Here is a 23,493-nt window from a genome sequence, read left to right as displayed (position 1 = left end):
GTAACACCATGGTATTTGTGTATCTAAACATGTCCAAACATGGAAATGGTATGGTAAAAATACAGTATTCTAATGGGACCACCATTATATATGCAGTCCTTTATTGACCAAAATATTGTTATGCGGTGCATAACTATGTATCAGCTGCATCTCAGTAAAACTGTTGAAAACAAAAACACTGTCCAGATGAATTCAGCTGGGCTTGATGCAGCCTGGGAATCTGCATTTTACCGATTTCCAAGTCATTCGAGAACTCTGGTGAGTCAACTGCCTTTGGGGGAGTTTTAGTTATTTTCTCTGAGCAAAGAATTTTATATCATTCCTGCAATAAGCCTAAGAATAAAGAAAAAAGCTACAAGAATGACATTGACCTACTTGAGGAAGGTGGCTTATATCAACCAAAGGACATACCCATGAGAAACAATTTTTTAAGGAGCTGAAAATAGTCTAAATGATTATAAATTAATTAGAGAAAATTGACACGGACAATCAACAAATAAGTTGACAGTTTCTCCAACTTATTGATAGTTTCTTATTTAAAAAAAAATATTTTTAAAAATTGAAACATGTCATCTCTACTCACACCAAATTGGCCAAGGAATTCACAAAGCCAAGCCTATCATAAATTGGGCAAGGAATTTCAATCCTTGACTTGAAGCATTGCCTCAAGTCAAGGGCCATGCCTGATATCAAAGGGCAGAGTTGTATAATTTCATAGGAGGGTGATAATTAATTGGGAATAATTGACAATATAGGACAGAGAGCTGCAAAACGTGTGAAACAAGTGATAGAACTGAAAGAAGGAAGACAATCTAGGTGGAGCACAGAGGATTTTGAGGACAGTAAAAGTACCTTATATGATACCATGATGGTGAATACATGGCTTCATACATTTGTCCAGACTCAGACTATACAACACAAAAGTGAACCTTAATGTAAACATGAACTTTGGGTGATAATGATACGTCAATGGAGGTTCATTGATTGTAACAAATGTACCACTCTGGTGGGTTGTTAATAATGGGGGAGGCTGTCCTTGCGTGGGGGTACAGTGTATATGGGAAATCTCTACCTTCCACTTAATTTTGTTGTAAACCTAAAACTGCTGTTTAAAAAGTCTATTAAAAATGAATTAGAAAAAGGCAAAGATATTTAAGAACATTTCACTGAAGCAGATCCACAAACCCAATAGGCAAATACAAAGATTTTCAGCATTACTGTCCATCAGGTGTTCAGACCTCAGCATTTTCTGCTTCCTCCATAAGAGCCACAGTCTGTCTTCACGGATCTTGGAAATAGAACGGCCTCTACATAACACTCCAAATATCTCTTTGGTGATGTTCATTAGGAACTTGAAGTTGTTTCTGATAATTGGTAATGAAAAGTTTTTCAGAAGCAAGCATGCACTCATGGTGAATTGACCATTGTAGTTCTATGAAAAGATGGTATCTCAAATGACAAACTCATAACTCAGAGACTGGCTGGCTCCCTCCCCCTACACACACTAGGACATCATACTAAGCCCAAAGTCCTGGCAGTAAGAAGAAATCAGATGAGTATTTTCTATTTTAGAATGTGAGGCAGAGTCTGTATGTAAGGGAAACAGGAGTATGCTGGGTCTCTGTGAGTGCTCACATCTGAAAAAGGAGATTCCTCTGGAGTAGAAACTATTCCTGTGGCAAAGATACAAAAGTAGGAGAAATAATTTCTGAGATACAGACTGAGTCTGTGGAGACAGACTAGAGGTCCTATCCCCCACACCAATCCCTGATGGTGACTATTGATATTTTATCTATGTAGCATTCAATGTGAGATTAAACTTTTCTGTGGTTTTAAACTCTGATTTAGCTGCCATACAAGAGTCCCTGATATTATTTTCAGGATAATAGAGTAATTATTGTAAAACCTCTATGCATACAATGACGTTAAAAATGGAATACAGTGATCTCATTATTACAGAAACTATGTGTCTGGGTGAACGTGGCTAGAATATGCGTCTTTTCTCCAATGCTGGCCTTACCATGTGCTAAACGGAGACAATAATTGCATTTAAACAGGACATCTCTATTGTCTGGTGACTACAGTGAGAGTAACTTCCCTCCGGAGTTCACAAAAGAAACATTTTAGAAAACGTTAATGTCACCAGTGTGGCTTTCATACCAATATAACTTCGGCAGTTTACACATTCAAATATATCATGTGATATTTTTCTTTTTTTTTGTTAAAAAATATCTTTTCGGGGGCAGCTGATAGAAATGTTCTAAGATTTGAATGTGGGGATGGTTTCACAACTTATAGCAAGTGTATTAAAAGTCAATGAATTATATACTTAAAATGAAACAATTTTATGGATATAAATTAGATCTCAACAAACCTGTTTTTTAAATTCCAGTGTTAACTCTGAACTCACTACAAATCTAACTATATCAATTTACTTAATGAACACATTTCCGTATCTTCCAGGTACAATTTTACATCTTTTGAGTATATTTCAATTATTACATTAATTATAATAAAGTTGCTGTTAATAGCCATCCATTAATGAACAAATAATTATATTATCTAAAATCAATAATTTAGTCTGTACGCTAAAATTTTTTTTTTTTTTACTTATTTATTTTTTGAGATGGAGTCTCACTCTGTTGCCCAGCCTGGAGTGCAGTGGCACAATCTTGGCTTATTGCAAACTCTGCCTCCCAGATTCAAGTGATTCTCCCACCTCGGCCTTGTGAATAGCTGGGACTACAGGCATGTGCCACCATACCCAGATAATTTTTTGTATTTTTAGTAGAGAGGGGGTTTCACCGTGTTAGCCAGGATGGTCTCGATCTCCTGACCTTGTGATCCACCCACCTTGGCCTCCCAAAGTGCTGGGATTACAGGCTTGAGCCACCACGCCTGGCCAATGTTTTATGTCTTACATTTCAGATTCTATAGCTTAGCTCACAATATTGTGCAATTATTTCAACAGCTGGTATTTGAATCTTGTTCCTTGCTTGAGGAAAATCTCTCTCCATCATAAATTGTGAACCATTCTTGGGTCAATAAATGCAATTTCATCTTGGACAATCTTTCTTCTGGGATTATGTGGTAATCAGTGTATTTATATCTTATTTAAGTATGTATTTATAGTAATTTGGCCCATGAAATAAAAATATAGATGTAATACTTACTACAGTCACAATTATGTGTAAAGATAAACCACTATGACAAAAGATACTAACAAAATTAAGTCAAGATGTCAAGTACATGAAAGATAGAAATAACTAGCCATGCTGGGCATGGTGGCTCACACCTGTAATCCCAGCACTTTGGGAGGCCGAGGCGGGTGGATCATCTGAGGTCAGAAGTTCAAGACCAGCCTGACCAACATGGTGAAACCCCATCTCTATTAAAAATACAAAATTAGCCGGGCTTGGTGGTGCACACCTGTAATCCCAGCTGCTCAGGAGGCTGAGGCAGGAGAATTGCTTGAACCCAGGAGGCAGAAGTTGCAGTGAGTCAAGGTCGCACCATTGCACTCCAGCCTGGGCAACAAGAGCGAAACTCCATCTCAAAAAAAAAAAAAAAAAAAGAAAGAAAAGAAAACTAGCCATGTTAGTGGATCGCCATGGTTAACACATTCATTGTATTGGTCCATTCTTGCACTGCTATGAAGAAATACCTGATATTGGGTAAATACCTGATATTGGGTAATTTATGAAGAAAAGAGGTTTAATTGGCCACAGTTCTGCATGCTGTACAGGAAGTATGATGCTGGCATCTGCTCAGCTCCTGAGTAGGCCTCAGGAAACTTAGAATGATTGCGGAAGGCAAAGTGGGAGCAGGCACTTCACATGACCAGAGCAGAAGGAAGAGAGAGAGGGGGAGGTGCCACACACTTTTACACAACCAGATCTCATGAGAACTCACCATCACAAGAACGGCACCACAGGGGAATCTGCCCCCATGATCCAATCACCTCCCATCAGGTCCCACCTCCAACACTGGGGATTACCATTTGACAGGAAATCTGGGCAGGGACACAGATCCAAACTATATCACTCATCTTTGCAGCCAAACGTGAATCCTGATTCACCCACTTACAGGGATGTGGATGAGTCCTTAAAGCATCTTGGCCCTAAGTTTCCTCGTTTGTGATATGTGAATAACATCAGTACTTATCTCACAGGTTGTTATTACACATAAAGCACTAATAACAGTGACTCTTACTTAAAGTGTAATGTAAAGGAAAAAGTAAGTGCAAACTTGAAAAATCACTTATTAAAGAAAAACAGATGGATTAGTTTTGGATGAGAACAAATTAAAGGGGAGGATACTGGATGTCAGTTGCCACAGTTAAAGCACAAACCTCATGTTCCCCTGCAAGACTCCTTCAACCTAGAGAGCCTAATGGTGCACTATTACTATCTGTTATGAAATACCCAACTGAGGTGAGATAAAACTGTGGTGGCAGAAGAAACATGATTCATTAGAAGTTATGATTAAATTTTATTAAAGCATAAAACTTGTGATACATTGTAAATAAAACAGTAGCAAAACATAATGCCAGTTGTGAAACGTCTGTGTATATGTGCACATGCTATTCTGGTTCTTTGGTTTGGTTTGGTTTTTTTTTGAGGCAGAGTCTCACTCTGTTGCCCAGGCTGGCGAGCAGTGGTGCGATCTCAGCTCACTGCAACCTCCGTCTCCCGGGTTCAAGTGATTTTCCCCTCGGTCTCCTGAATATCTGAGATTACAGGCATCTACCACGATGTCCGGCTAATTTTTGTATTTTTTGTAGAGACACGGTTTTGCCATGTTGGTCAGGCTGGTCTCGAACTCCTGGCCTCAAGAGATCCATCTGCCTTGGCCTCCCAAAGTACAGGGATTACAGAACGTGAGCCACCACACCCAGCCCTGGTTCTTTTACTTGAACTACCCTCTATGATAACCATTCTTTCTTCAATTTACAAGAATAACTAATTTTTCATTTATCATTGATATACAACAGCTATTGCTTTTAAAAAAAGATAATCGCCATTTCCCCTACATTACTTCTACCACATAATGAGGTCCTAGTAATCTGTCACTCTCATAAAAAGCCCAGTGTCGGCCGGGCACACTGGCTCACGCCTGTAATCCCAGCACTTTGGAAGGCGGAGGCGGGCGGATCATGAGGTCAAGAGATTGAGACCATCCTGGCTAACATGGTGAAACCCTGTCTCTACTAAAAATACAAAAGTTAGCTGGGGGTGGTGGCACACGCCTGTAGTCCCAGCTACTCGGGAGGCTGAGGCAGGAGAATCACTTGAACCCGGGAGGCGGAGTTTGCAGTGAGCCGAGATCGCACCACTGTACTCCTGCCTGTCAAGAGAGCGAGACTCCATCTCAAAAAAAAAAAAAAAACGAAACAAAACTCCAGTGTCTTAATGTCCTGGCGTGCCATCTCCTGGTCAACTGGTAGAGCAGCAATCCTTTCCTATAAGCCAGTGGCCCTCTGGAGAAGGGCACACTGAACACAATAAGCATGACTTTTAGTTTTGTATTTTTCTCCACCTCTCCCTGATGCTAATTCATACAATATTAAATTTCAAAATTCAGCATTCTTGTTCTTCCAGGGAGCATGAATAGGAATGAACCACACCTAATGAAGTAGGCCCTATCATTTTATTGATTCCTTCCCAAAGATCATAATGAAAGGCCTGTAAGAAAAGCATAAAATCAACAGATCTCAAACATCAGACGGAAACCAGTAATAGTAGTGTAGCCTTTCCAAGAAACTTCACATAAATGAATATTTTATACACTGAAGATAATGTGTCATTTCCACATGTCCTTTTTTCCTTTGATATACATCATGTTATGAATTTAACATATTTTGGCCTGGAATTATTCTGCAGTTTGTAATATTTCCAGTTAACTTTGGAAATTTAGAGACTTTGTGATTCCTGGTATGAGTTCTATGGTGTGTAGACTCTTATGGGAGTTCATTTAAAAAACTACCACCTTCATCACATCACTGTTGCTTAAAGGTCTTTCCATGTTTAGTACATTTTTAATAGATTCTGTATGAATTTTCTCATGACCCCAAAGACAAGGACATTTGATAAAAAGCCTTACCACTTTCATTACATTTGTGAGGTTGCTCTCCAGTATAAATCCTGTGTTGTGCCAGTTTTGACCACTGGGTAAAAGACTTAGCATGGGCTGGGCGCAGGAGCTCAAGCCTGTAATCCCAGCACTTTGGGAGGCTGAGGCAGGCAGATCACGAGGTCAGGAGTTCGAGACCAGCCTGGCCGATATGGTGAAACCCCGTATCTACTAAAAAATACAAAAAATTAACCGGGTGTGGTGGCACGCGCCTGTAGTCCCAGCTACTTGGGAGGCTGAGGCAGAATTGCTGGAATCCAGGAGGCGGAGGTTGTGGTGAGCCAAGATCGGGCCAATGCACTCCAACCTGGGCGACAGTGCAAGACTCCATCTCAAAAAAAAAAAAAAAAAAGCTTTAGCATGCATGTTACTTTGATTTCTCTAAAAGATGTATACTCTGTTTTTTTGTTTTGTTTTGTTTTTTGAGACGGAGTCTTCCTCTGTCGCCCAGGCTGGCGTGCAGTGGCATGATCTCAGCTCACTGCAACCTCCATCTCCCAGGTTCAAGCAATTCTCGTGCCTCAGCCTCCTGAGTAGCTGGGATTACAGGCACCTACCACCACGCCCAGCTAATTTTTGTATTTTTAATAGAGACAGCGTTTCGCCATGTTGGCCAGGGTGGTTTCAAACTCCTGACCTCAGGTGATCCACCCACCTCAGCCTCCCGAAAGTGCTGGGATTACAGGTGTGAGCCACCGCGCCCGGCAAAAGATGTATACTCTGATGTCCAGTGCACTGTGAAACCTGAAAAGAGCCTCTGCCACATACCTTATATTTACATGGTTTCTCTTCAATATGAACTCTCTGATGTCTTGTAGTACTTGAACTCATGGTAAAGTTTTTCCCATGCTCATTGGATTTCTAAGGTTTCTCCCCAGTACGAATTATTCTGTTCCCCAACTTTTGATCCTCAGATAAAATCCTTGTCACAGACATTGCATTTGTGTGCCTTTGCCCCAAGATATATTAGATACTCTTATCTAATGAGTAGCAAGCACTACTTTAAAACACTGCTACATTCATTGCATTTACAAGTATGATCTATTTGGTGAGTCCTGAGTTTAGGGCCATTCTTAAAAGCCTTGCTACATTCAGTACATTTGGAAAGTTCTCTCCAGTATGAACTATCTGATGATTAATGAAGCGTGAGCCTTGAGTAAAGGCTTTGCCACATTCATGACATCTGTAGGATTTCTCTCCAGTATGAATTCTCTGATGATTTACAAGGTGTGAATTTTGACTGAGGACCTTGCCACACACATTTGTAAGGCTTCTCTTCAGTACAAATCCTATGATAACTTTTGAAATGTGAATTTTGACTGAAGACTTTGCCATATATGTCATATTCATATGGTTTCTCTCCAGTATGGATAATCTGATGTATAGTGAGGTGAGAGGCCTGGGTAAAGGTTTTTCCACACTCATCATACTTGTGAGGTTTCTCTCCAGCATAGATTTTTTGGTGAATCCTGATGTCCGCCCATTGTCTAAAGGCCTTGCTGCATTTGGTACATTTGTATGGCTTCTCTCCAGTTTGAATACTCTCATGATGTCTAAGGTGGGACCACTTCACATAAGCCTTTCCACACTCATTACATTTGTAAGGTTTCTCTCCAGTATGAATTACCTGATGGTTAGTTAGGCTTGAATGCCCAATAAAGGTTTTACCACACTCATTACACTTGTAAGGTTTCTCTCCAGTGTGAGTTCTCTGATGGTCCACCAGACTTGAATTTTGAATAAATGCCTTACTACATTCATTACTTTTGTTTTGTTTCTCTCCAGAATGAATCCTGTGATGTTTTACAATTTTGAACTCTGAAAAAAAAGCCTTGTCCCACTCATTACATTTATAAGGTCTCTCTCCATTATGGATGACCTGATGTTTAGTTAGGTTTGAGCGCACGCTAAAGGCTTTGCCACACTAATTACAACTTGTAAGTTTTCTCTCCAGTGTGAATTCTCTGATGATTTTCAAGGTATGAATTTTGACTGAAACTTTTGCCACATATATCACATTTATATGGTTTCTGTCCAGTATGGATTCTCTGATGTCTAGTAAGGTGGAACATCCTATTGAAGGTCTTGCCACACTCATTACATCTGTAAGGTTTCTCTCCAGTATGAATTCTATGATGACTTGCTAGGTTTCCAATTTGCCTGAAACCTTTGCCACATATATCACATTTATATGTTTTCTGTCCAGTATGGATTCTCTGATGTGTAGTAAGGTTGGTCATCTTATTAAAGGTCTTGCCACACTCATTACATCTGTAAGATTTCTCTCTAGTGTGAATTCTCTGATGATTTTCAAGGTATGAATTTTGACTGAAATCTTTGCCACATGTATCACATTTATACGGTTTCTGTCCAGTATGGATTCTCTGATGTCTTGTAAGGTGGGACCTGTAATTAAAGGTCTTGCCACAATCACTACATTTGTAAGGTTTCTCTCCAGTATGAATTCTATGATGACTTGCTAGGTTTGCAATTTGCCTGAAACCTTTGCCACATATATCACATTTATATGGTTTCTGTCCAGTATGGATTCTCTGATGTCTAGTAAGGTGGAACATCCTGTTAAAGGTCTTGCCACACTCGTTACATCTGTAAGGTTTCTCTCCAGTATGAATTCTATGATGACTTGCTAGGTTTCCAATTTGCCTGAAACCTTTGCCACATCTATCACATTTATATGGTTTCTGTCCAGTATGGATTCTCTGATGTGTAGTAAGGTTGAACGTCTGATTGAAGGTCTTGCCACACTCATTACATCTGTAAGGTTTCTCTCCAGTATGAATTCTATGATGACTTGCTAGGTTTGCAATTCGCCTGAAACCTTTGCCACATATGTCACATTTATGTGGTTTCTGTCCAGTATGGATTCTCTGATGTGTAGTAAGGTTGGACCTCTGATTAAAGGCCTTGCCACAATCACTACATTTGTAAGGTTTTTCCCTAATGTATGCTTTCTGGTCTTGTGTGAGTAATGAAGGATGCATAAAATCATTCCTGTATATATTAGAAATGCTGGTGTTGACACAAGGAAGATTTGTTTGAAGTAATGAAACTGAGGACCCACGGGTGACAGACTTCTCAATTTGATTACATTCATAAATTTTCCTTTCAATTTGAAATCCCTGCAGTTCAGCCAGATGCAACCAAAAGCTTAGTTCAAGCTGATTTTCAACTGGCTTATTTCCTGCATTCCTTCCATCACCTTGATCTCTTCTTCCAGTGATGTTTTTAATTTTAATTGCAGGTATTTCTCTGTAATTTCTCTCATCATTGTGACACTGACACTCAAAGTCATGAATATTTTGCTGCATTTCTCTGAAGTAAAAATCTTGGATGTCATGGATTTCATGTCTTTCCAACATCACTGCTTGGAATACTTTTCCTGTGCTATTGTTCTCTTTTGGTGGTAATTCCTTGATCATATGTGTAGGAGAGACATCTACAAGATATTTAAAAAACAGGTTTTCTATTAACTACAGTTGGCAAATCAGTAGTTCATATTGAAAAATATATCGGCCGGGTGCAGTGGCTCACGCCTGTAATCCCAGCACTTTGGGAGGCCAAGACAGGCAGATCACCTGAGGTTAGGAGTTCCAGACCAGGTGGCCAACATGGTGAAACCTCATCTCCATTAAAAATGCAAAAATTAGGGATTTGCTGGCAAGATGGCCAAATAGGAACAGCTCTGGCCTGCGGCTCCCAGCGAGATCGACACAGAAGGCAGGTGATTTCTGCATTTCCAACTGAGGTACCCACTTCATCTCACTGGAATTGGTTGGATAGTGGGTGCAGCCTACAGAGTGCAAGAGAAAGCAGGGTGGGGCGTCACCTCACCAGGGAAGTGCAAGGGGTTGGGGGATTTCCCTCCCTAGCCAAGGGAAGCTGTGAGGGACTGTGCCATGAGGAACGGTGCACTCTGGCCCAGATACTGTGCTTTTCCCACAGTCTTCACAACCGGCAGACCAGGAGATTCCCTCCAGTGCCTACGCCACCAGGGCCCTGGGTTTCAAGCACAAAACTGGGTGGACGTTTAGGCAGACACCGAGCTAGCTGCAGGAGTTTTTTTTTCATACCCCCGTGGCACCTGGAACACCCGTAAGACGGAACTGTTCACTCCCCTGGAAAGGGGGCTGAAGCCAGGGAGCCAAGTGGTCTGGCTTGGGGGGTCCCACCCCCACGGAGCCCACCAAGCTAAGATCCATGGACTTGAAATTCTCACTGCCAGCACAGCAGTCTGAGGTCGACCTGGGACACTTGAGCTTGGTGGGGGGAGGGGCATCCGCCATTGCTGAGGCTTGAGTAGGCGGTTTTACCCTCACAATGTAAACAAAGCTGCCGGAAAGTCTGAACTGGGCAGAGCCCACCACAGCTCAGCAAGGCCACTGCGGCCAGACTGCCTCTCTAGATTCCTCCTCTCTAGGCTGGGCATCTCTGAAAAAAAGGCAGCAGCCCCAATCAGGGACTTATAGATAAAACCCCCATCTCCCTGGGACAGAGCACCTGGGGGAAGAGGCGGCTGTGGGAGCAGCTTCAGCAGACTTAACCGTCCCTGCCTGATAGCTCTGAAGACAGCAGCGGATCTCCCAGCACGGCGTTTGAGCTCTGATAAAGGACAGACTGCCTCCTCAAGTGGGTCTTTGGCCCCCCATGTATCCTCACTGAGAGATACCTCCCAGTAGGGGGCCGACAGACACCTCGTACAGGAGAGCTCTGGCTGGCACCTGGCGGGTGCCCCTCTGGGATGAAGCTTCCAGAGGAAGGAACAGGCAGCAATCTTTGCTGTTCTGCAGTCTCTGCTGGTGATACCCAGGCAAACAGGGTCTGGAGTAGACCCCCAGCAAACTCCAGCAGACGTGGAGCAGAGGGGCCTGACTGTTAGAAGGAAAACTAACAAACAGGAATAGTATCAACATCAACTAAAAGGACATCCACTCAGAGACCCCATCTGAAGGTCACCAATATCAAAGACCAAAGGTAGATAAATCCACAAAGATGGGGAGAAACCAGCACAAAAAGAACCAGAATGCCTCTTCTGTTCCAAAGAATCACAACTCCTCACCAGCAAGGGAACAAAACTAGGAGAATGAGTTTGACGAATTGACAGAAGTAGGCCTCAGAAGGTGGGTAATAACAAACTCCTCTGAGCTAAAGGAGCATGTTCTAACCCAATGCAAGGAAGAAAAGAACCTTGAAAAAAGGTTAAATGAATTGCTAACTAGAATAACCACTTTAGAGAAGAACATAAATGACCTGATGGAGCTGAAAAACGCAGCATGAGAACTCCATGAGGCATACATAAGTATCAATAACTGAATTGATCAAGCAGCAGAAAGGATATCAGAGATTGAAGATCAACTTAATGAAATAAAGTGAGAAGACAAGATTAGAGAAGAAAGAGTGAAAAGAAATGAACAAAGCCTCCAAGATATATGGGACTGTGTGAAAAGACCAAATCTACATTTGATTGGTGTACCTGAAAGTGATGGGGAGAATGGAACCAAGTTGGAAAATACCCTTCAGGATATTATTATAGGAGAACTTATCCAACCTAGCAAGACAGGCCAACATTCAAATTCAGGAAATACAGACAACACCACAAAGATACTCCTCAAGGAGAGCAACCCCAAGATACATAATCGTCAGATTCACCAAGGTTGAAATGAAGGAAAAAATGTTAATGGCAGCCAGAGAGAAAGGTCAGGTTACCCACAAAGGGAAGCCCTAAGACTAACAGCAGATCTCTTGGCAGAAACTCTACAAGCCAGAAGAGGGTGGGGGCCAATATTCAACATTCTTAAAGAAAAGAATTTTCAGCCCAGAGTTTCATATCCAGCCAAACTAAGCTTCATAAGTGAAGGAGAAATCAAATCCTTTACAGACAAGCTAATGCTGAGATATTTTGTCACCACCAGGCCTGCCTTATAAGGAAGGAAGCACTAAACATGGAAAGGAACAACTGGTACCAGCCACTGCAAAAACATACCATATTGTAAAGACCATCGACACTATGAAGAAACTGCATCAACTAATGAGCAAAATAACCAGCTAGCATCATAATGACAGGATCAAATTCACACGTAACAATATTAACCTTAAATGTAAATGGGCTAAATGCCCCAATTAAAAGACACAGACTGGCAAATTGGATAAAGAGTCAAGACCCATCGGTGTGCTGTATTCAGGAGACCCATCTCACATGCAAAGACACACATATACTCAAAATAAAGGGATGGAGGAATATCTACCAAGCAAATGGAAAGCAAAAAAAGCAGGGGTTGCAATCCTAGTCTCTGATAGAACAGACTTTAAACCAACAAAGATCAAAAGAGACAAAGAGGGGCATTACATGATGGTAAAGGATCAATGCAACCAGAAGAGCTAACTATACTAAATATATATGCACCCAATACAGGAGCACCCACATTCATAAAGCAAGTTCTTGGAGACCTACAAAGAGACTTAGACTCCCACACAATAATAGTGGGAGACTTTAACACCCCACTGTCAATATTAAACAGATCAATGAGACAGAAAACTAACAAGGATATCCAGGACTTGAACTCAACTCTGGACCAAGCAGGCCTAATAGACATCTACAGAACTCTCCACCCCAAATCAACAGAATATACATTCTTCTCAGCACCACATCGCACTTATTCTAAAATTGACCACATAATTGGAAGTAAAACACTTCTCAGCAAATGCAAAAGAATGGAAATCATAACAAACCGTCTCTCAGACCACAGTGCAATCAAATTAGAACTCAGGATTAAGAAACTCATTCAAAACTGCACAACTACATGGAAACTGAACAACCTTCTCCTGAATGACTACTGGGTAAATAATGAAATGAAGGCAGTCTTTGAAACCAATGAGAACAAAGACACAACATACCAGAATCTCTGGGACACATTAAAAGCAATGTGTAGAGGGAAATTTATAGCACTAACTGCCCACAAGAGAAAGCGTGAAAGATCTAAAATCAACACCCTAACATCACAATTAAAAGAACTAGAGAAGCAAGAGCAAATAAATTCAAAAGCTAGCAGAAGACAAGAAGTAACTAAGATCAGCGCAGAAGTGAAGGAGATAGAGGCACGAAAAATCCATCAAAAAATAGACGAATCCAGAAGCTGGTTTTCTGAAAAGATCAACAAAATAGATAGACCACTAGCCAGACTAATACAGAAGAAAAGAGAGAAGAATCAAATAGATGCAATAAAAATTATAAAGGGGATATCACCACCAATCCCACAGAAATACAAACTACCATCAGAGAATACTATAAACACCTCTACACAAATAAACTAGAAAATCCAGAAGAAATGGATAAATTCCTGGATACATACACCCTCCCAAGACTAAACCAGGAAGAAGTCGAATCCCTGAATAGACCAATAACAAGTTCTGAAATTGAGGCGGTAATTAATAGCCTACCAACCAAAAAAAGTCCAGGACCAGACAGATTCACAGCCGAATTCTACCAGAGGTACAAAGAGGAGCTGGTACCATTCCTTCTGAAACTATTCCAAACAGAAAAAGAGGGAATCCTCCCTAATTCATTTTAATGAGGCCAGCATCATCCTGATACCAAAACCTGGCAGACACACAACAAAAAAAGAAAATTTCAGGCCAATATCCCTCATGAACATCTATGCGAAGGATATGAACAGACACTTCTCAAAAGAAGACATTTATGTGGCCAAGAAACATATGAAAAAAAGCTCATCATCACTGGTCATTAGAGAAACACAAATCAAAACCACAATGAGAAAGCATCTCATGCCAGTTAGAATGCTGATCATTAAAATGTCAGGAAACAACAGATGCTGGAGAGGATGTGGAGAAATAGGAATGCTTTTACACTGTTGGTGGGAGTGTAAATTAGTTTAACCATTGTGGAAGACAGTGTGGCAATTCCTCAAGGATGTAGAACTAGAAATACCATTTGACCCAGCAATCCCATTACTGGGTATATACCCAAAGGATTATAAATCATTCTACTACAAAGACACATGCACACGTATGTTTATTGTGGCACTATTCACAACAGCAAAGACTTGGAACCAACCCAAATGCCCATTATCCAGAAATATTAGTTTCTGGATAATGAAAATATGGCACATATACACCATGGAATACTATGCAGCCATAAAGAAGGATAAGTCCATGTCCTTTGCAGGGACATGGATGAAGCTGGAAACCATCATTCTCAGCAAACTAACACAACAGAAAACCAAACACTGCATGTTCTCACTCATAAGTGGGAGTTGAACAATGAGAACACATGGACACAGGGAGGGGGAACATCACATACCAGGGCCTGTGGAGGGGATGGGGAGGTAGGGGAGGGATAGCATTAGGAGAAATACCTAATATAGATGACGGGTTGATGGGTGCAGCAAACCTCCATGGCACACGTATACCTATGTAACAAACCTGCACGTTCTGCACATGTATGCCAAAACTTAAAGTATAATAATTTTTAAAAAAATACAAAAATTAGCCAGGTGTGGTGACATGTGCCTGTAGTTCCAGCTACTCAGGAGGCTGAGGGAAGAGAATTACTTGAACCTGGGAGGCAGAGGTTCCAGTGAGTTGAGATCTCACCACTGCATCACAGCCTGGGCAAGAGAGCCAGACTCTGTCTCGAAGAAAAAAAAAAAGAGGACCTCTCTGTCTAGTGCCATTCCAGACCTGAGTAAACAATCTCAGAAAACCCCGTGTACTCCCCTGTGGCGCACACTGCAATCTGTGGCAAAAGCAGAACAGAAGAAATGACTGAGGCTGAAAGACTTTGACAGACAGACAGGGCTGGAGACAGCACCATGAGGTTTCCGGAGCCCCAGATGCAAAGGAGGAGCTGCCAATGTTTTCCCGTCACCTGATTAGGTCTCCCAAGTACAGGAAATGGGGCAAAACCTGAATAGGTCAAGGGGGCAGGTCCATGGAGGCCTCAGCTCTGATCTGTATAGACAGAGAACTGAGCATCAGACGCAGTCAGGTACAGGAGAGATCACAGGAGACCTCTTGGACACAACCCTCCCTGTGCCCCTCAGAGTGAAGAAACCAAAGAGGTCACAGAAGCCACATGACAGGGTGTTGTCCATCATGATAAAGACTTTGCCTTTGTCACTGTTGGAGCTGTAGCGCCATGGGAGTGTGAAAGGATAAACTACTACACGTCAGAAGAGCAGAGGGATAAATGAGGGCAAAGAAAGGTTTCCATTGAGAGCTCACAGGATTTAAACCCTTTTTGTTCCACAGAACTCTTCAACTCGGAAGGAGTTACCTGAATACTAATGGTGCAGCTTCCTCTCTGTCCATTTGAGCTCTTACCTGTGTTCACACCTTTGATGCATTCCCAACCACTTGATGTTTTTGTTATTTTCACTTCACTCTCCACAGTCCAGGGCTCTTTCCCTTGCCCCAACATGGAGGTAATACTCATTTCAGAAAGAGAGATTCCTGCTTAGAAAAAGAAAGGCATGTAATGTGCTGTGGCTTTTACAGAATCCCAGCCCTTTGTTTAGAGGAGGAAAGAGGACATTACAAATGGATCTAGAAAAATATTTCACAAATTCACCCACTGAATGCCTCCTTCTGAATGTTTAGGGAACATGGTAAAATACGAACATCGAACTGTCCTCTAGGAAGTACTGAATCACAAGCAAAGGGGCAGAAAAGAGCAAAGTGGATTTTTTTACTTTTTCTTTTTCTTTTTTTTTTTTTTTTGAGATGGAGTTTCGCTCTTGCTGCCCAGGCTGGAGTGCAGTGGCGCGATCTCGGTTTACTGCAACCTCCGCCTCCCGGGTTCAAGTGATTCTCCTGCCTTGGCCTCCCAAGTAGCTGGGATTACAAGCGCTCGGCACCACGCCTGGCTAATTTTTTGTATTTTTAGTAGAGATGGGGTTTCACCATGTTGGCCAGGCTAGTCTCAAACTCCTGACCTCAGGTGACCCACCCGCCTTGGCCTCCCAAAGTGCTGGGATTACAGGCGTGAGCCACCACGCTGGCCCAAAGTAGATATTTTTAAAGTCTACCATAGGGTTTATTTCTACTTAAGCTCTGGAACCACCAATGATATATCTTGAAGGAGGTAGATCATTTGAAAATGGGATAATTAAGTCCAGATGCTGCACTATTAAGCTTTTCATCTGAGAATTAACATAGCTTCAGTCTTAATTGAGCAATGCAGGGGCTCCCAAGAGGCACACAGGGAACATGCAGAGATACAGCAGAGCAGATCCCAGCTTCTGGAGGGGCATTATCCTCACCCAGGGAGACCAGGTTCCTGTAGTTCTCCAACATCACGTCCCTGTACAAAGCCCTCTGAGCAGGGTCCAGGCATTTCCACTCCTCCTGAGAGAATTCGATGGCCACGTCCCTGAATGTCAACCTTCCCTGATATGAAAAAACACATTTCACCAAGAAGTCATGGGGAGAGCTATTATCTTCACACAAAATGACAAAAAGAGAGGTATAAGTCAATTTAGTTTAAATGAACGTTCTGGGAAATCCATGGAAAGGTATTTTCAGGCAAACCGTGTCTGAAAAACACATTTTACCAAGCACATGGGGGAGAGTTATCATCTTTACATAAAATGAGAAAAAGAGAGAATTGTATTGATTTACTGAAGGGAGAGTTCTGGCAGATCCATGCTAAGGTATTTTGGGGCATTTAGGGACGTTAGGAAGAACATTAGGTATGTCTCCCTAATTGCATTTTATTATACTCTTCTGTAAGAGCTTATGATATCTTCTAAATAAGTGTGGATTTCTCTTTCTGTAGACAATGGAAGAAACGTAGAAATAAATAGTCAACACACAGCTATCTCTATAGAAGTGCTAGATATTATGTTTGACACACAAAGTGATATTCAGTATCTGGAGGAGCTGGAAGAAGTGTGTTGTCTTCAGAGATGACAATGTCCATGGTGTCTTTAAAGAAAGAAAGGTCAGAATCTAAAAAGTGTGGCCGGGCGTGGTGGCTCACGTCTGTAATCCCAGCACGTTGGGAGGCCAAGGCTGGTGATCATGAGGTCAAGAGATTGATATCATACTGGCCAACATGGTGAAACCCCGTCTCTACTAAAAATACGAAAATTAGCTGGGCGTGGTGGTGCACACCTGTAATCTCAGGTACTCGGGAGGCTGAGGCAGGAGAATCACTTGAACCAGGAGGTAGAGGTTGCAGTGAGCCGAGATCGCACCACTGCACTCCAGCCTGGGAAACAAAGTAAGACTCCGTCTCAAAAAAATAAATAAATAAAATAAAATAAAAAAATAAAAATACGGAACTGATTTATGAAATGGTGATGTGTCGTCTATAAACGCCATAGGATAGTTCATCCATACATTCATGCACACATATATACACGAATGTAAATTAACAAAGAGAAAACATGCCTCTCAATGACATACTTTTTATGACTTTTTCATTATCATTTTTCCTCATGTGCATTTCAGCATCTTGGGGACAGTAAAGTGTATAAGTTGTATTTAACTTAGTTTGTCAACATTATGTTATATAATGCCAATAAAAGAATGGTAAAAACATGAAAAAAATATTTAAAACTTTAACTCCAATCCCTATGAAATAGTTATAGTCAAACTACAAATAAAATTCTATCCATTTAAATTTAAATATTTAGGCTGGGCGCAGTGGCTCACGCCTGTAATCCCAGCACTTTGGGAGGCTGAGGCGGGAGGATCACCTGAGGTCAAGAGTTCGAGACCAGCCTGGGCAACGTGGTGAAATGGCGGGCACCTGTAGTCCCAGCTACTCGGGAGGCTGAGGCAGGAAAATCACTTGAACCCGGGAGGCAGAGGCTGCAGTGAGCCAAGATCGCACCACTGTACTCCAGCCTGGGTAACAAAAAAAACAAAAAACAAAAACAAACAACAAAAAAAAAGAAAAATGAATTAAAAGCCTCAACATATGACCTAACATGATAAAACTCCTAGAAGAAAGTGTAGGAGAAAAGGTTTGCGAAACTGAATTTTGCAGTCATTTCTAAGATATGACACCAAAGACACAGGCAAGAAAAGCAAAAATATACAAATGGGACTACATCAAACTTACAAACATCTCTGCATCAAAAGAAAGAATCAAGAGGCTGAAAAGCAACCTCCAAGAGAAGGATGTGCTGAAAATGACGTAAAGAATCTCCTTCTGTTAGAGATTTAGATTGTTTTCTGGCCGGGTGCGGTGGCTCACACCTGTAATCCCAGCACTTTGGGAGGCCAAGGCAGGTGGATCACCTCAGGTCAGGAGTTCAAGACCAGCCTGGCCAACATGGTAAAACCCCATCTCTACTAAAAATACAAAAATTAGCCCGGTGTGGTGGCAAGCACCTGTAATCCCAGCTACTCAGGGGGCCCAGGCAGGAGAATCACTTGAACCCAGGAGACGGAAGTTGCAGTGAGCCAACATCGCACCATCGCACTCCAGCCTAGGGGACAAGAGTGAGACTTTGTCTCAAAAAAAAAAAAAGAGATTTAGATTGATTTCATATTTTAAAATTGGTGGAGCCAGGCGTGGTGGCTCACGCCGGTAATCCCAGCACTTTGGAAGGACGAGGCGGATGGATCACCTGAGTTTGGGAGTTTGAGACCAGCCTGACCAACATGGAGAAACCCCGTCTCTCCTAAAAATACAAAATTAGCCGGGCATGGTGACACATGCCTGTAATCCCAGCTACTCGGGAGGCTGAGGCAGGATAATCGCTTGAACCTGGGAGGCGGAGGTTACAGTGAGCAAAGATCACACCATCGCACTCTAACCCAGGCAACAAGAGCGAAACTCCATCTCAAAAAAGAGAACAAATCAGTGCTAGAATAAAACACCCTCCCCTCACTAAGGTGTTTCTGAACTTTCCATTCCATTCCAAATCATAACAATTCTGGAGCCAAAAACATACAGATTCATGTATTTATCTTCGAATGTATTCTTAAATCAGACAAACAATGTGCCAGAATTCCCCTCATCAGCCTCCTTTTCTGGAATTACCAGGTACTTGTGCGCATTAGTACATGACTTCCATGTGCAGCTTCTCTACTCCTGGTCCACAGAGACCTCACAGTGCATCCAGATGTGGCCGCTAAACAATCCCTCTTGCCTAACAGTCCTAACACTACGGGGCTCACATGCCGTGTCCATCCATGTATGGGTGTGAGCCCTTCCCAGGACCATGCCCAGTGGGGCCTCGTCCCAAGTTCACATCAGTGGGTCACAGGCAATGGAATCTAAGTGAAATGAGAGGGACTGAGGGAAGGCACGGGTGAGTGCGAACAAACGTGTCAGGCAGGATGCTTCAGACTCAAAGAAGATTTGCAACTCCAAAGAATGAAATTTCAGAAAGGAAAGAGAAACAGAACAAGCTGGGCACGGTGGCTCTCGCCTGTAATCCCAGCAGTTTGGGAGGCCGAGGCGGGTGAATCATGAGGTCAGGAGTTGGAGACCAGCTTGGCCAACATAGTGAAACCCTGTCTCTACTAAAAATACAAAAAATTAGCTGGGCATGGTGGCGGGCACCTGTAATTGCAGCTACTTGGGAAGCTGAGGTAGGAGACTCGCTTGAACCCAGGAGGTGGAGGTTGCAGTGAGCCAAGATCACACCACTGCACTTCAGCCCAGGCGATAGTGCAAGACTCTGTCTCCAAAAAAAAAAAAAAAGGGGGAAACAGAACAATCCACCAAGAATATCACTTTACTTGAGAAAGAGCCATCCCTGTCTCCTCTTTCTTCTCTTCTGGACTTCTTCCTCAGGCCACATGAGTCTTTAAAGGTTAATCTGGAATGTGAAAAAGAAGTTATTTAATGCCTAGAATTAACACACCCCCTTCCTGTGCCACGACCACACACACAGGGAAGACACCCGTGCAAAGACAGTCCTCTGCCACCGACTGCACCAGGAGGAAAAAGAAACTTGTAGGAAGAAGAAACTTGTAGGAAAAAGAAACTTGTAGGAAGACCAACAGGTGAGTCTGTAACCCCTTTCTTCAGAACCCACTCTCCTCCTAGAGAGGCCCACACGCACGCTGCAGCGGTGGGGAGCTGGGCTGGACTGAGCTCCCCTTCAGGGTGCACACCTGGCCTTGAGCAAACCTCATGCAGAGCACAGCCGCCCTCACATCCCTATGGATCCCAGGCTGAGCTGAGGCCTCAGAAATGGAGGAAACAGTCTGTAATCCCAGCACTTTGGGAGGCCGAGATAGGCGGATTACCTGAAGTCAGGAGTTCGATACCAGCCTGGCCAACATGGTGAAACCCCGTTTCTACTAAAAATACAAAAATTAGCCGGGTATGGTGGTACGTGCCTGTAGTCCCAGCTACTAGGGAGGCTGAGGCAGGAGAATCGCTTGAACCCAGGAGGCAGAGGTTGCAGCGAGCCGAGATTGCCCCATTGCACTCCAGGCTGGGTGACAGAGTGAGACTCCATCTAAAAAATTTTAAAAAAAGAAATGGAGGACACAGAGCCTCAGTATCAATGCTGGACAGATTAGAATCAGCTGGGGTAACATCACTACTGTCAAGGCTGGACTCCAACCCCATTACATGAATGGAAAACTCAGGTAAAGAGGCACAAGAGTTTTATTTGCAAAACGACTCAGTACTCTCAAGTCAAACCAGGATTGAGCTCCACTCAGAGGGAGTGTGAAATAACAAGAAATATATTTTTGGTCTCTGCCCCTGGTTCCTGGGATATAGATCCTAAACCCCTCACAGAAAGGGGTGTTAGGAGAATCTTTGGTTCTCATATTTGGTCTTTGACCCCGGGTCCTTGCACAAAGCTCCTAAATCCCTTGGAATTTCCTACGTGATAGGAGTGTTTTTGTTCTAATGAGGCAAGTCTTGGGCTCCTGGATAGAGCCAGTTGCCAGAAAGAGTAAGCCATGATTAGAAGCTTGGAGATTTCAGCTCCATCACTTATTTCCCAAAGAGTGGAGCATGCTGAAGACTGAGTTAATAATCTCTCATGCCTACAGGATGAAGCCTCGATAAAAGTTCCTGATCTATAGACTTCGGAGAGCTTTCTGGTTGATAAACACATCTGAATGCCAGGAGGGTGGGTGCACCCAAATCCACAAGGACAGAAGCTCCTGTGCTTAGAACATTCTCAGACCTCACCATACATATCTCTTCATCTGGCTGCTCATGGGTATCTTTTATGATATCCTTCATTAATACACCAAATCCTCACTTGATGTTATCAATAGATTCTTGGAAACCGGAACTTTAAGTGAAATGGCAACCTTTTTCCTCATCTACATAAAAAATGACATCGAATGGCCAAGTGCGGTGGCTCACACTGTAATCTCAGCACTTTGGGAGGCCAAGGTGGGCAGATCAAGAGGTCAGGAGATCGAGACCATCCTGGCCAACATGGTGAAACCCTGTCTCTACTACAAATACAAAAATTAGCTGGGCATGGCAGCACATGCCTGTAATGCCAGCTACTAAGGAGGCCGAGGCAGGAGAATCACTTGAACCTGGGAAGTGGAGGTTGCAACGAGCGGAGACAGCACCACTGCCCTCCAGCCTGGTGACAGAGCTAGACTCCATCTCAAAATAATAATAATAATAATAATGATAATGATGACATTGAACAAAACAACGTTATTCGAGGACCTGCTGTATATCATTTCATTCATGACCCGGTTTCCAAGAACCTGTAGAAAACATGAAGTGAGAAATGACTGCACAAAAAATCAGTAAACATAAGTAAGTGCTTCCAGCAGTCCTGTGAGCTGTCCTCACAAGTTAATCAAACCCAAAGAGGGAGTCATGGGAGCCCCAATATATAGGTCAGTTTTAAGGACAGGTGACAACCTATTACTTTTGACTGACGTCTGAAGTGGCGGCGGGGGGGCAGGGGGGTGGTCTTGTGGGACTAAGACCTTAACCTGTTGGATCTGACTCTAACTCCAGGCGCACAGTGTCAGAATTGAATTGAATTATAGGACACGCAACTGGTGTATACTGGAGAATTGCCTAGTGTGTGGGAAAAAAACTCCCACACATTTGCTGTCAGAAGTGTTATATGTTGGCTGGGCGCGGTGGCTCATGCCTGTAATCCCAGCCCTTTGGGAGGCCCAGGCGGGCGGATAACCTGAGGTCAGGGGTTGGAGACCAGCCTGGCCAACATGGTGGCCCCGACTCTACTGAAAATACAAAAATTAGCCGGGCGTGGTGGCACATGCCTGTAATCCGAGCTACTCCGGAGGCTGAGGCAGGAAAATCGCTTGAACCCGGGAGGTGGAGGTTGCAGTGAGCTGAGGTTGCGCCACTGCACTCCAGCCTGGGTAACAGAGGGGGAGACTCATTCTCAAAAAAAAAAAAAAAAAAAAGCATACTGGGTGTCACCGAACAGGCCTAGGTCACCTCCTCCACCATGAGTGTCACAGGACAAGCCCAGCTCACCTTCCCACCATGGGAGGTGACTGCCTAGAGGGGCTTGGGAGCTGAAGGCCCTTCCTGAGAAAGATTTCGGGTGAGAAAGACAAAGGTGGCACCTTAGGACAGGGGTGGGGTCTGCAGAATCCCAGAACCAAGTAAGGACGCGGCCCCTCCGGACTGAGGCTGCAGCGCTGCGCACCAGGGGCCGACAAGGGCAGGTCTTGGAGAACCGGATAGACCTGAATCCACCTTGCAGGTGAGGGCTCTAAAAAGTGCTCTCCCGGCCGGGCGCGGTGGCTCACGCCTGTAATCTCAGCACTTTGGGAGGCCGAGGCGGGCGGATCACGAGGTCAGGAGATGGAGACCATCCTGGCAAACACGGGTGAAACCCCGTCTCTACTAAAAAAAATACAACAAAATTAGCTGGGCGTGGTGGCGGGCGCCTGTAGTCCCAGCTACTTGGAAGGCTGAGGCAGGAAAATGGCGTGAACCCGGGAAGCAGAGCTTGCAGTGAGCCGAGATCGCGCCACTGCGCTCCAGCCTGGGCGACACAGCGAGACTCCGTCTTAAAAAAAAAAGTGCCCTCCCGCGTGGCGGGAAGAAAAATCGGTAAAGGATTTTAGGCAGCAAAAGACACGAAAGGCCATGTTTACCTAGCGCAAAGCAGAAAGACCAGATTCAGGAAGTAGGCTTAGAGCGACTTTAACCCAAAGGGAAAGCGATCTCCGCATTCTCACAGCAACGTCAGAATTTACCTGGGGTGGAGGGCGCGGTGTGGTCATTTTAAGATCTGTAGGGACCCCTCCAGACCCGGGGGATGGAAGAAGGGGGACTGCGAAGCGCAGATTTAATCTAGAGAGAGCGAAACTCAGGCTCGGCGGCGCAGCCTTCACTCCCCGCGATCCGCTTCCGGGTCTACAGAAAACCGCTCGCAGCGGAGA

At 43.4% G+C, this 23,493-nt stretch overlaps 1 protein-coding gene and 2 pseudogenes across 2 annotated transcripts; all 3 read right to left on the bottom strand.

The window, feature by feature from the left end:
* Positions 1 to 4,467: 4,467 nt before the first annotated feature.
* ZNF818P (zinc finger protein 818, pseudogene) lies at positions 4,468 to 7,622 on the bottom strand (annotated as a pseudogene). The gene has a single exon (NR_073396.1). The product of NR_073396.1 is annotated as a zinc finger protein 818, pseudogene (transcript).
* On the bottom strand, positions 8,067 to 9,590 carry LOC100419845 (zinc finger protein 415 pseudogene; annotated as a pseudogene).
* On the bottom strand, positions 9,620 to 23,469 carry LOC124904792 (zinc finger protein 480-like). The gene is made up of 5 exons (XM_047439805.1): positions 23,308 to 23,469; positions 16,428 to 16,554; positions 15,490 to 15,621; positions 9,763 to 9,943; positions 9,620 to 9,623 (listed from the first exon to the last, which is right to left on the bottom strand). The coding sequence occupies exons 1-5, from the start codon at positions 23,332 to 23,334 to the stop codon at positions 9,620 to 9,622; spliced, it is 471 nt and encodes a 156-aa protein (XP_047295761.1). The 5' UTR covers positions 23,335 to 23,469.

The sequence above is a fragment of the Homo sapiens genome, chromosome 19 (genome assembly GCF_000001405.40).
Source record: "Homo sapiens chromosome 19, GRCh38.p14 Primary Assembly".
Taxonomy (NCBI): Eukaryota; Metazoa; Chordata; class Mammalia; order Primates; family Hominidae; genus Homo; species Homo sapiens.
The sequence above is the reverse complement of the archived record's forward strand: the minus strand, read 5'-3'. Positions and strand labels throughout refer to the sequence as shown.